Genomic DNA, 13,499 nt, shown 5'->3' on the forward strand with positions numbered 1-13,499 from the left:
AATTATTTACATAAAATACGATTATATCAGACATTAACCAAATTTTCAGTGTCTGCATTTCTTTCTTTCTTTTTTTCCTTTCTTTCTTTTCTTTCTTTCTTTCCCTCCCTCCTTCTCTCTCTCTCTTCTTTCTCACTTTCTCTTTCTTTCTTTCCTTTTCTTTCTTTTCTTACTTTCTTCCCCCTCCTTCCTTCCTTTCTTTCCCTCCCTCCTTCTCTCTCTCTCTTCTCTCTCTCTTTCTCTCTTTCTCTCTCTTTCTTTCCCTTCCTTCCCTCCTTCCTTCCTTCCTTCCTTCCTTCCTTCCTTCCTTCCTTCCTTTCTTTCTTTCTTTCTTTCTTTCTTTCTCTCTCTCTCTCTCTCTCTCTCTCTCTCTCTCTCTCTCTCTCTTTCTTTCTTTTCTCTTTCTCAGAGTTTTGCTCTTGTTGCCCAGGCTGGAGCGCAATGGTGCGATCTTGGCTCACTGCAACCTTCGCCTCCCAATTTAAGTGATTCTCCTGCCTCAGCCTCCCAAGTAGCTGGGATTATAGGCACGCACCACCACACCCAGCTAATTTTTGCATCTTTAGTAGAGACAGGGATTCGCCATGTTGGCCAGTCTGGCCTCGAACTCCTGATCTCAGTTGATCTGCCCACCTTGGCCTCCCAAATTGCTGAGATTACAGGCATGAGCTACTGCGCCTGGCCTGCATTTATTTCATGGTTATTGTTTTATTTCATGATTATTGCTGAAGATGAGTCTATTTTATAGAGAGGAGAAATTGAAAAATGATCCCAGCTGGTGTCAAATACACCAGGAACGCTGCTCGAAATAAATGTTCAACTGCACGCATGTTTTTTCCAGCACAATTCACAATTGCAAAGATATGGAACCAACCGGTGTGGCCATCAATCAATGAGTGGATAAAGAAAACGTGGTATATATACATCATGGAATATTATTCAGCCATGAAAAGAATGAAATAATGTGTTTCGCAGCAATTTGGATGGAGCTAGGGCCATTATTCTAAGTGAAGTAATTCTGGAATGGAAAACCAAATACCGTGTGTTCTCACTTATAAGTGGGAGCTAAGCTATGAGGATGCAAACGCATAGAATGGCATCATGGATTTCAGGCCCTTGGGGTGGGAAAGGTTGGGAGGCGGATGAGGGATAAAAGGCTACATGTTGGGTACAGTGTACATTTTCAGGTGACGGGTGCTCTAAAATCTCAGACTTCACCGCTAAACAATTCATCCATGTAATCAACACCAGGCCAGGCGTGGTGGCTTACACTTGTAATCCCAGCATTTTGGGAGGCCAAGGCAGGTGGATCACCTGAGGTCAGGAGTTTGAGAACCAGCCTGGCCAGCATGGTGAAACCCTGTCTGTACTAAAAACACAAAAAAATTAGCTGAGCATGGTGGCAGGTGCCTGTAGTCCCAGCTAATCCGGAGGCTGAGGCAGGAGAATCACTTGAACCTAGGTGGTGGAGGTTGCAGTGAGCTGAGGTCGTCTCATTGCACTCCAGCCTGGGCAACAAGAGTGAAATTCTGTCTCAAAACAAACAAACAAAAACAAACAAACAAACAAACCAAAAAACCAAAAACCAAAAACAAAAACCACTTTTACCCCAAAAGCTACTGAAAAAAAAAAAAATTATGGCTGGCAGTGGTGGCTTATGCCTGTAATCCCAGCACTTTGGGAAGCCAAGGCGGGAGGATTGTTTGAGCCCAGGAGTTCGAGACCAGCCTGGGCAACATGGCGAGGTCCCATCTCTACAAACCAGAAAATTAGCCAGGCACGGTGGCACACATCTGTAATCCCAGCTACTAGGGAGGCTGAGGTGGGAAGATCACTTGAGCCCAGGAGGTCGAGGCTGCAGTGAGCTGTGTTGGCGCCACTGAACTCCAGCCTGGGTGACAGAGAAAGCGAGCCTTGCCTCAAAAAATATTTATTAAAAAATAGAATAAAAAAGAAAAATTAAAAGAAAAAGAAAAAGAAATAAATATCTGTTGAATCAACCAATGAAGGAGGGTGCAGTTCCATACAGCGCCCACCAGGTGCCGCTGCTCCCAAGCCTAGGCCGGCTCAGCGACTCTGCAGGGTGAATCTCAACCCCAGCCCCGCCTCGGGGTCGCACCTCAGGACGTCTCCTTTTCCAATCTGCAGCGTGGCTCGGCCTCCTCCCTCATCGCAAGGCTCCCACTCTGCCCCTGGAGTCCAGTCAACCCCGCAGCCACTTGCAGAAATTTTCCTATAAGCAGTTCTGACCACATTCCTCCACTTCCTGTTGGGTTCCTGGGACAGGTTCCTGCCGACTCTTACCTCTGGGCCTTTGCTGCTCCTTCTGCCTGGGATGCCCTTTCATTAGAAAACTCATATAGTACTTAGCTCCACTTCTTCCTGGGGGCATACCACTTAATTGCTCCATGCCTCAGTTTCCCCTGATGCAGAGGCTGGACAGAGAGGCTTTGTCCAAGAAAAGTTCAGGGCCAGGAATTAGACAATCTGAAAGGCAATGGGGAGCCATAGAGGGTGTTTGAGCAGGAGAGTGTCCTCAGATGTAAGGAAGGACAGAGCCTCCTTCCCTTTGCCCCTGGATCTTTCTAGAAGGGCCTTACGGGGTTGGAATGGGAGACTTTAGCTGTGGCCAGCTCAGACTCCACTTACTGGGCTCCCAGGGGCTGGACAAGCAGGTCTTCCTCCCCCTGTACCCTCCTGGTGGGGCTGTTTACTCTCCAGTGATGTCCCTGAGTCTGGGCCATCCCACAGCACCTGCTCCCTGGGCAGACACCAGGTGCGGGGACACCCCTGGAGGGAAAGCCACAAGCTTCAGGCTGGGGGCCCGGGTGTCACCTTTACGGAAGCGCCGGTGACTACCTCCACCGCGGGAGGTTCCACAAGGCTGATGAGGCTCACGTGGGACTCACCGGGGAGACAGCGTCCAGAGCAGGTGAGGACGGCATGCTGGGCTGGCCCGTTCAGGGGGCTGGAGGACATTCAGGGACCCCACACCCAGCTGCTGCCCCCTGCCTGTCTCAGGCCCTCTCTCTGACTCTGTCTCCCCATCTCTGTCCCCTCCACCCTCTCAACTCTGTCCTTTCTCTCTGGCGCTGTCTCTCTCTGGGTCTTGTTCACTGTCTTGGAGCTCTCCATGCTGTGTCTCTTTCTCTCTCTGTGTCTCCCCATGTCTCTCTCGCTGTCTCTGGCCCTCTCTCTCCCTGGGTCTCTGGTTCAGGGGGGGTCTCTGTCTCCGTTTGAGTCTCTGTCTCTCTCTGTGTCTCTGCCTGTCCCTGTCTCTGCTGCCCCATCCAAGCCCTGCTCTCAGGGTGGGGAGAACAGGTTCTACCCTCTCCGAGGTTCTCTTCCTCATTGGCTTACTCTGACCCGGTCCCTAAGGGGGACCACCAGGCACTGCCCAGGAAGGAGGAGGGAGCACCAGGCTGCAGAACCCCATGCTGCCTCCATCTGAGAAGGCCCTCCATAGCCACGTTCTCCCTACAGCCCACCTTGTGCACAAAGCCAGTGTTCTCCCTGCAGCCCACCTTCTCCCAGAAACCCTCCTGCCTTCTCCACGCAGCCCATCTTCTCTCTGAAGCCCACCTTCTCCCCACAGCCCACCTCCTCCCGCAGCGCACCTCCTCCCTGAAGCCCCCTTCTTCCTGAAGCCCACCTCTTCCCTGAAGCCCACCTTCTCCCTGAAGCCCACCTTCTCCCGCAGCCCACCTTCTCTCTGAAACCCACCTCTTTCCGCAGCCCACCTTCTCCTCGAAGCCCACCTTCTCTCTGAAGCCCACCTTCTCCCGCAGCCCACCTTCTCCCGCAGCCCACCTTCTCCTGCAGCCCACCTTCTCTCTGAAGCTCCCCTTCTCCCCGCTTGTTTTCCCACCTGGCTCCAACCTCCTGTCCTGCCTTTTTACTTCTACGGGTGCAGCCCCCGTACCTGGCCCTGCTCCCCACACAGCACAGCTGCCGCCGCCCAATGTTTCCCTGCTGCGCCCAGGCCTGTGCTAGGTGAATGGAAGAGCATGGCCTCCTTGCACTTCTGCAAAGCAGCTAATCCTGGGCCCCTATGGGTGGCAACACCTGTGTGTGTGTAGCAGGGAACTGAAGGGGGGTCTGGAGGTCTCCAAAGATGATGCCTCATGCACCAGGGAGGGTCTGGCTGTTGTGTGGCTGTAGGGGTCCTTATTCTTGGGACCTGCTCCAGGGGAGGTGGGGGAGTCCAGCTTGGCTCTGTAAATCTGGTGGTTAGGTGGGTCCAGTCACCGTGCTGAAGGTCTTTGTCCTGGGGGTTGTCTGTGGTTGGCGTTTGACTATTGAGGGGATCCAGTTGTTGTAAGGATTTGGGGTGCAGTATTCTGGGGGCTCTGCTGTTGAAAGGAGTCTTGTTCCTGTGCCTGTCTGGGGTGGTTTTGTGGAGGGGGGCGGTTTTCGCTCCGGTGGGAGGTCCAAATCTGTGGAGATTGGCGATTGCTTTTTTTTTTTGAGACGGAGTCTCACTCTGTCACCAGGCTGGAGTACAGTGGTATGATCTCGGCTCGGCTCAGCCTCCTGAGTAGCTGGGGTTACAGGCACGCGCCACCACACCCAGCTAATTTTTTTTTTGTAGAGAGGGGGGTTTCATCATGTTGGCCAGGATGGTCTCGATCTCCTGACCTCGTGATCCACCCGTCTCGGCCTCCCAAAGTGCTGGGATTACAGGCGTCAGCCACCGCGCCTGGCCTGGCGATTGCTTTTGTCTGCAGGGGGTCGTTGGGGACTCTGGCTGCTGCAGGGTCCTGTTGCTTTAAGATTGATGGTTGCGGGGACGTGACTGCTGTGAGTGACAGTTGCTAAGGGGTTGGGAGTATTTGTTGCAGGCAAGTTAGGGACACAGACCTCCAGCTGTTGTCTGCTGGAGTCTGATCGCTGTGTGTGGGATTGTAGTTAGTGGGTGAGTGACAGTCCTCTCTCACTGTAAATCTCTCTCCGTCTCTACCTCTTTCTCTGTCCCTCCACACCGTGCTTTCATTCAAAGATTTGTTGAGGAATCATTGGAATAATTACGGTGAGGCCAGTGTCTGACTGCAGCAGGTTTCTGGGGGGCTCTCAGCCCTGCTCAGACGGGGAGAGGAGGCAGGACACCCCTCATTTTCCCCACCACCTGTGATCAGCCCTGGGGGTGGGAATCACTGGCTCACATGGGCCAAAAGAGCTAGATGTTTGGGTCTCAGAGACCACACCCCATTCTGACCTTGTTCTCAAACTTCAAGGCTGAGGCTGAGGGGCTTGGTGGGTTTGGCAGGACTGGCGGTCTTGGGTGGGTGCAGGGACTCTCCCTGGCGAGGGGGGAACAGAGAGGGTTACAGGCATTGGGAGAGAGGACCAGCCATGCAGATATCTGGCAGGAGCATTCCAGGCAGAGGGCACAGCCAGCATGTGCAAAGGCCCTGAGGCAGGACAGTGCCTGGTGTGTTGAGGGAAGAGCAAGGAGGCCTGCGTGCCTGAAACAGAATGATCAAGAGGTAGCAGGATGATTTGGTGTTACAACCACCACTTCCGAGCCGGGAGCTCCTGGGCCCAAGCCTCTTTGGGGTGCACATCTTCCTAACAGGCTCAGCTGCGGGCACTTCCCCTACAGCTGGGGTTCTCCACCATGCCCTATTGATATTTGGGGCCAGGCAGTCTTTTGTCTTGGGGGGCTGCGTTGTGCATTGTAGGATATTCAGCAGCGTAAATATTTAGAGACCAGTAGGGGCACCTGGTCTCTACCCACCAGGGGCCAGTAGCACTTCCCAAGTGAGGATAACAAAAAACATTGACAACTTTCCCCTGGGTTTAGAACCATTGTCCTAAAGTTGGAAGTGGGGCCGAGAGTGGGAGGCTGCCTGGGGGGACTGGGGTGGGAGCTGCACAGGACAAGTGAGGATTTCTGGTGTGACCTTAAGTGAACAAGCTTCATTCTCCTCACCTATCAAATCAGAGTCTGGGGTGATGAGAGGATTCTATTCATTCATTCATTCATTCATTCATTCATTCAACAAGTATTTATTAAGCATCTACTATATGCCAGCCCCCACAGTGAGGATATACCACGAGGAAGAAAGACAGGCAGTGGCGTCATGAAAGAAAGAGAGACGTTAGTTGCTGGGCGCAGTGGCTCATGCCTGTATTTCCAGCTGTTCAGGAGGCTGAGGTGGGAGGATCGTTTGAGCCCAGGAGGTCGAGGCTGCAGTGAGGTATGATTGCACCACTGCACTCCAGCCTGGGTGACAGAGCAAGACCCTCTCTCTAAAAAAATTTAAAGGCTGGTTGCCGTGGCTCATGCCTGTAATCCCAGAACTTTGGGAGGCCAAGCTGGGTGGATCACCTGAGGTCAGGATTTCGAGACCGGCCTGGCCAACATGGTAAAACCCTGTCTCTACTAAAAATACAAAAAATTAGCCAGGTGTAGTGGTGTGTGCCTGTGATCCCAGCTACTCGGGAGGCTGAGGCAGGAGAATCACTTGCACCTGAGAAGGCGGAGATGGCAGTGAGCCGAGATCACACCAGGGCACTCCAGCCTGGGTGACAGAGGGAGACTCCATCTCAAAAAAAAAAAATTTTTTTTTAAAAAGAAAGAGACATTAATGAAATAATTACACAGATACCTGTAAAATCGCAACAATACTAAACGCTGAGAAGCAGAAGCACCTGACTTAGTCTGGTAGGTCGGAGAGGGCTTCCCAGAGAATATGTGATCAGAGGAGGGGGATAGAGGAATTAGGGGAGAGGAGGAAGAGCGTTGCAGGCACTGGAGCTGCAGGTGCCGAGGCCCTGCGGTGACTCCGAATGGTGGGAAGGCCAGTGTGGCTGGAGTAGGGTCAGGATACGCTCCATCTGGATCTCCCAGGCCCTGTGAGTGGGGGAAGAGAGTGCAGTCTTGATCCGTTAAAGGTTTTAAGCAGGAAAGTAGCATAATCTGATATGCATGGTAAAAAGATCCCTCCAGCAGATAGTGTCTGTGAAGTGCTTAGCATAGGCAGTGTAAGGGACTCAGAAATGAGTTGGATGATGCCAACGGGTATTTTGGGGACCCAGAGGTGTCACAGGCTCCAATTCGTGCCCTCTGAGTCCCCACGGATGAAGCTCTGGCCTGTTTCCAGGAGCCCATGGTATATTCTAGGCTTGGGGTGAGGGGGTGGAAAAGAAGAATTTCCCTGTTTTGAGCATAGTTTCGGAGATGGGGGAAGGACGGCCACCTCTAGGGTGGTGGGGGGAGGGCTCCAAGGGCCGGAAGACACTTCTTTCAGTGAACTCCTGGGCCCGTTTCACAGAAGGGAGACTGAGGCCCTGGGGCCTCATGAGCACCCAGTCCTGAGCTACAACACCGGCCACTGCCCTGTGGGAGGTCCCAGAGGAGCTGTGTCTTGGCATCAAAGGCGCTTTTGGGACCTGCTCACAGTTCAGGCCACATCTCAGGCTTGGCAGGGTAGGCCCTGGGCTCCGGCTGCCCAGGCACCAAACCCACCTGTGACTAGCTGTGTGACCCTAGGCAAGTCGGTGCATCTCTCTGGGCCTCCGGGGGAAAAAGAGATGTGGAGTCTCCCAAGGGTGTTGTGAGAATTAAACAACATTGTTTACATTCCTTCATTCAACAAACAGTTATTAAGCACCTACTGTGTGTCAGGTGCTGTTTTGGGCACTGTAGACACAGAGGGGGAATGGTCCCTGTTCTCGGGGGCTGGTGTTCTAGCGGCAGAGACATACACCAAGCAAATACGACCATCGGTAATGATAAAGTAAGGAAGTTCATCCACGTTGTCTCAAATGGCAGGATTTTCCTTGCTTTTCAAGGCTAAGTAGTATTGAATTGTGTATACATATCACATTTCCTTCCTTCCTTCTTTCCTTCTCTCCTTCCTTCCTTCCTCCCCTCCCTCCCTCCTTCCTTCCTTCCTTCCCTCCTTCCTTCTCTCCTTCCCTCTTCCCTCCCTCCCTTACTTTTTTTTTTTTTTAAGATGGAGTTTTGCTCTTGTTGCCCAGGTTGGAGTTCGATGGTGCAGTCTCGGCTCACTGCAAGCTCCACCTCCCAGGTTCAAGCGATTCTCCTGCCTCAGCCTCCTGAGTAGCTGGGATTACAGGTGCCCACCACCATGCCTGGTTAATTTTTTTGTATTTTTAGTAGAGACAGGGTTTCATCATGTTGGCCAGGCTGGTCTTAAACTCCTGACCTCAGGGTACCTGCCCGCCTCAGCCTCCCAAAGTGCTGGGATTACAGGTGTGAGCCACCATACCTGCCCTCCTTCCTTCCTCCCTCCCTCCCTCCTTTCTTGCTTTCTTTCCCTCCCTTTTCCTTCCTTCCTTTCCCTTCCCTTTCTTTCCTCCCTCCCTCTCCCTCCCTTCCGTCCCCCTCCCTCCCTTCCTTCCCCCTCCCTCCCTTCCTTCCCCCTCCCTCCCTTCCTCCTTCCTTCCTTCCTTCCTTCCCTCCCTTCCTTCTTCCTTTTTCCCTTCCCTTTTCTCTCTCTCTCTCTTTTTTTCTTTCCTCCTTTCTTTTTCTCTGTCACCCAGGCTGCAGTGCAGTGATGCAATCATAGCTCACTGCAGCCTCGACCTCCTGGGTTCAAGCAATCCTCCCACCTCAGCCTCCCAAGTAGTTGGAACTACAGGCATGCACCACCACGCCTGGCTAGTTTTTTGTATTTTTTGTAGAGATGGGTTTCGCCCAGGCTTATACCATATTTTCTTTATCACTTCATCCATCCGTGGTCACTTAAATTGCTTCCATATCTGTGCTATTGTGAATAGTGCCTGGAGTGCCAGTACCTCTTCATACTGATTTCAATAAGTGTATGAGCTGATGGGTTTGTTAACGAGCCTGGTTTAATCATTCCACACAGTACACATACATCAAAGCCTCACATCATACTCCACAAATATCTGCAATTATTATTTGTCAATTAAAAATAAGAAACCAGGGCACAGTGGCTCATGCCTGTAATCCCAACACTTTGGGAGTCCGAGGAGGGTGGATCATTTGAGGTCAGGAGTTCGAGACCAGCCTGGCCAACATCGTGAAACCTTGTTTCTACTAAAAATACAAAAATTAGCCAGGCATGGTGGCGTGCGTCTGTAATCCCAGCTACCCGGGAGGCTGAGGCAGGAGAATCGCTTGAACCCAGAGGTTGCAGCAAGCAGAGATCGCGCCACTGTAATCCAGCCTGGGCGACAGAGTGAGATTCTGTCTCAAAACACAAACAAACAAAAGATACAGTAAAATAGGCCAGGCGAGGTGGTTCACACCTGTAATCCCAGTGCTTTGGGAAACTGAGGAAGGAGGGTCCACTGAGGCTAGGAATTGGAGAGCAGCCTGGGCAACGTAGCAAGACCCAGTCTCTACAAAATAAAAATAAAAAAAACTGGCCAGGTGTGGTGGCACATGCCTGTAGTCCCGGCTACTTGGAAGGCTGAGACAGGAGGATTGCTTGAACACAGGAGGGTGAGGCTGCAGTGAGCCATGATTGCACCACAACACTCAGGCCTGGGTGACAGAGCAAGACTCTGTCTTAAAAAAAAAAAAAAAGGTGAAAAAGTAAAGGAGGGGAGCAAAAGTGTCTGGAATAAGCAGAATAAGGAGAGAAAGTGAGTGTGTAAGTGTGTAAGTATGTGAGTGTGTGTGAATGTGTGGGTGGCTGTTTAGGCTGGGGGTCAGGGGAGGCTTGCTGAGGAGGTGACATTGGAGGAGAAAGACCTAAAGGAGGTGAGGGAGGAGCGATGTGAGTGTCTGGGGAACAGCATTCCTGGCAGAGGGAACAGCCTGTGCAAAGACCCTGAGGCAGGACTGCATTGGGGTGTTGGAGGAACACGGAGGAGGCCCATGCGGCTGGAGTGGAGTGAGTGAGTGAGTGTGGGAGGGGATGTTGCAGTTGTCCAGTTACGTGAGGAGAAGAGTCCAAGAGAGGTGGCAGGTGGAAGGATCTTAGATGAAGTTTTCCTTTTCTTCCTTTTTTTTTTTTTTTGAGATGGAGTCTTTCTCTGTTGCCAGTCTGGTGTGCAGTGACACGATCTTGGCTCACTGCAACCTCCGCCTCCTGGGTTCAAGCAGTTATCCTGCCTCAGCCTCCTGAGTAGCTGGGATTACAGGCACCCGCCACCATGCCCAGCTAATTTTTGCATTTTTAGTAGACATGGGGTTTCACTGTGTTGGCCAGGTTGGTCTTCAACTCCTGACCTCTTGATCCGTCTGCCTCCCAAAATGCTGGGATTACATGCATGAGCCACCGTGCCTGGCCTAAATTTTTCTTTTTCTTTTTCCTTTTTTTTTTTTAAGAGACAGCGTCTCACTTTGTTGCCAGGGCTGGTGTGCAGTGGTGAGATTATAGCAGACTGCAACCTTGACCTCCTGGGCTCAAGCGATCCTCACGCCTCAGCCTCCTAAGTAGCTGGGACTACAGGCATGTGTCACCATGCCTGGGTTTTGTTTTGTTTTGTTTTTTGCTTTTTTAAGAGATGGGGTCTTGCTATGTTGCTCAGGCTGGTTTTGAACTCCTGGCCCTAAGTGATCCTCTAGTCTTGGCCTCCCAAGGTGCTGGGATTACAGGCATGATCCACTGTGCCTGGCCTCTATGGCAATTTTTGAAGGTGAAGCCAGTAGTTTCCTGAGTTGGGCTCAGATTTGGGGGTGAGAGAAAAAGAGGAGCAGAGGACAAAAGTAGGGGTTTTGGCCTGAGCACTTGCAGGGCTGGTGGCAGTGGGGGATGGAACTGCCATGAACTGAGGTGGGGAAGGTGGAGGGGGAGCTGGTGGTGGGGAGGGGTGGAACTGCCATGAACTGAGATGGGGAAGGTGGAGGGGACGCTGGTGGTGGGGAGGGGTGGAACTGCCATGAACTGAGATGGGGAAGGTGGAGGGGGCGCTGGTGGTGAGGCACATCACTTGCTGGGTTTTGGCCACGTTGAGTATTTGATGCTCGCGGGCGTTGGGAGGTAAATGTCCCACGAATGCTGAGTTTGGGGTGAAGCCAGCTGGGAGTCACAATCTCCTGGGCTCAGCGTAGAATTAACAAGGTGTGGTGTGTGTGTGTGTTTGTGTGTGTGTGTGTGTGTGTGTGTGTGTGTGTGTGTGTGTGTGTGTGTATGTATGTGTGTTTGTTGTGGGGGGGACTTGGTGGCCTGAGTGGGGTCCAGCCACCTGCTCTGGGGGATGTAGGGACTCAGGTGCCTCGAAGAGAGACCCTCCTGGCTGGCGTTTTAGTGGGAGCTGGGGCTTGGCCTTGGATGGACACGAGGTGCCTCTGAGCTTCCTTCCTTTGAGGCTGTGTGGTGACTGAGGCCAGTGCCCTGCAGAGAGGGAAAGGCAGAACCTGAGGGGCCCGTTGGGCCAGAGACTGTGGGCTCCAAGACCGAGATGAATTTTGCTGGGAGTGAGTTTAAGGAAGTGAATTTCCACTGCACGGCATCCATGCATAACAGCCCTGACGTCACATCAGACCCCGTGAGCCCTGGTGAGCCTCCCTTGGAGCTCGGGTGTCCAAGAACTGAGTATCTGTTATGTTGGTGAACAATGTATGTACCGGGTTACCTGTTCAGCCTTTGCTGCAAACCTGTGCCCATTTCACAGTTCAAAGAACTGAGGCTCAGGAAAGAGGAGTCACTTGTCCAAGTGTGTCTTTGGCAGAGCAGGGACTGGGTCCTTGGCCTCACCGGCTCTGGACACCCCTGCCCACCCCCCACTTCCTGCCCATCAGCCTGTTCCTGGCACTCGGGACCCCAGATGGGCTTGTGGGCTGGGCACGGGAGATACCAACGGCTTCCGGTCTCTTCCCCTGAGGCTCAGGAGGTGCCGGGGGAGGGGGAGGGCGGGCCACGGCTCCCAGGGTGCCTTGCATTTTCCCCTTGAAGACTGAGTTCCCACAGAAGCGTCTCGGTTTTAGAGATCGGTTTCGCTGGGGGCTTTTATGAGGCAGGGGCTCCATCAGATTGAGAGTGCAGGGCCCCGAGGTTCCATTGGGTTCCCTGAACCCCGTGGAAATGTGGCCCTTCCGAGAAACCTGGGCTGGGCTGCCCAGGGCCGTGGGAATAGCCTCTATGGGTCCCTGGTTCTCCTTGGGCAGACTTTTGAGTCAGAGGAAAGCCAGCTTGGGGAGGAAAGCAATTTCCTCATCTCAGGCCCCCCAAGTCTGGGCAGGAGGGGTGGAGAAGGCAGAGAGCTGGACCTAGAGAAGTAGTCTCCAACTCCCTGCTTGCACACCCCCTGTGACGGGCAGCTCATTACCTATCAAGGCAACCTTGCTTGGTTAGTGAGCTGGAATTCTTACAAAATCCTTTCAGATGCTGGTTCAAAACTGCACCTTCATCCCTCTCTCTGTGGTCCTTACCTAGCTTTCTGGACCACACGGAGCACACCCCCTTCTCCAAATATCTCACACTCTTATATTTATTCGACTGTCTATTCAGGAGATGTGTGGACACAGGGGCAGACCCAGAGAGATTGCTGCAGCAATGGTGGAATCCCACTGGGTCCTGGGAACCTAGAAGGCGCTTCTGGCCTATCTGAGAGGAATCAATTTGGTGGGCTTCCTGTAGGAGGTAGCATCTAAGCTGTGTCTTAAAGGACAAATATGATTTGGCTTAGGGAAGAGGTGAGGGAAGAATGCTTCAGGCAGAAGAAACATTATGTGGAGGTGAGGGACCATTCTTTCATGAAGTAAAAAATGGTCTACGTGGCTGGAGTGGTGTGTTTGAGGAGGGCTAAGGGGGTACTAAGGCCAGAAAAGGGATAGAGAAAAGCCTGGAGCAGTGACCCAGGTAGCAGAAAAACAATACCCTCATTCTTCAAACAGGGTATGAGTCCAAATTTGTTTTGTATTTCTTAAACATTTTTTTAAGAGAGATGGGGTCTTGCTATGTTGCCCAGGCTGGTCTCCAGCTCCTGGCTTCAAGTGATCCTCTCACCTCAGCCTCCCAAAGTGCTGGAATTACAGGCATGAGCCTTCATGCCTGACTCATTTCACATTTCTCAATTGCTTTGCCAGGAAGCAAGGTATACCTTCTAGGTACACAAGTGCCCATCTTACTGCATCCTTGCTAGCATTAGGTTTTATTGTTTTTAAGAAATCTTTGCCAATTTCGGCAGGAAAAATTGGTATCTCATGTAAATGAAAACAAATGAGTATTTCCCTTGTAAGCGACATGCCTAAACAATTTCTCCAGACATGCATTGGCCTGGCAAATGCTACCTTTTGCCTGAGTGTTAAGAAATCTTACACTCGCTGGAGAGTTTGCAGTCATTTTTAGCTCCTCTCTTAGAGCAAAAGAAAAGCTTGTGGGCTACCCTCTGGCCACATGGGTGGAGGAATTTGTGAGGCAGCCTCCTCCCTTCTCCTTTGATTCATCTTTCTTTTTCTCACCTTTTTTTTTTTGTCCTTTTAAACTTCTCTGTACTCTGTTGGCCTCTGAGTCTTCTGGTAACTGTAGCTTCATCTTCATCTGGGGTGTCTTTGGGCTCAAAAAAGAGGGTTGGCAAACCACAGGAAGACTCCCCAAGTCTTCATAGGAGAC

General features: G+C 51.9%; 1 protein-coding gene across 3 annotated transcripts in view; it reads left to right on the forward strand.

Annotated features, from left to right (window-relative positions):
- NFILZ (NFIL3 like basic leucine zipper) overlaps positions 1-13,499 on the forward strand; it is a 50,519-nt gene that overhangs the window by 22,064 nt on the left and 14,956 nt on the right. The window contains exon 1 of one of the 3 annotated variants that reach the window (NM_001378601.1): positions 2,881-2,932. The exons of the other annotated variants lie outside the window; for them this stretch is intronic. The gene's annotated coding sequence lies outside the window, so the exon portion shown is untranslated. Of the gene's footprint in view, positions 1-2,880; positions 2,933-13,499 lie in introns of those variants that run through there. 3 annotated transcript variants of the gene reach the window in all.

The sequence above is a fragment of the Homo sapiens genome, chromosome 19, assembly GCF_000001405.40.
Source record: "Homo sapiens chromosome 19, GRCh38.p14 Primary Assembly".
Classification (NCBI taxonomy): Eukaryota; Metazoa; Chordata; class Mammalia; order Primates; family Hominidae; genus Homo; species Homo sapiens.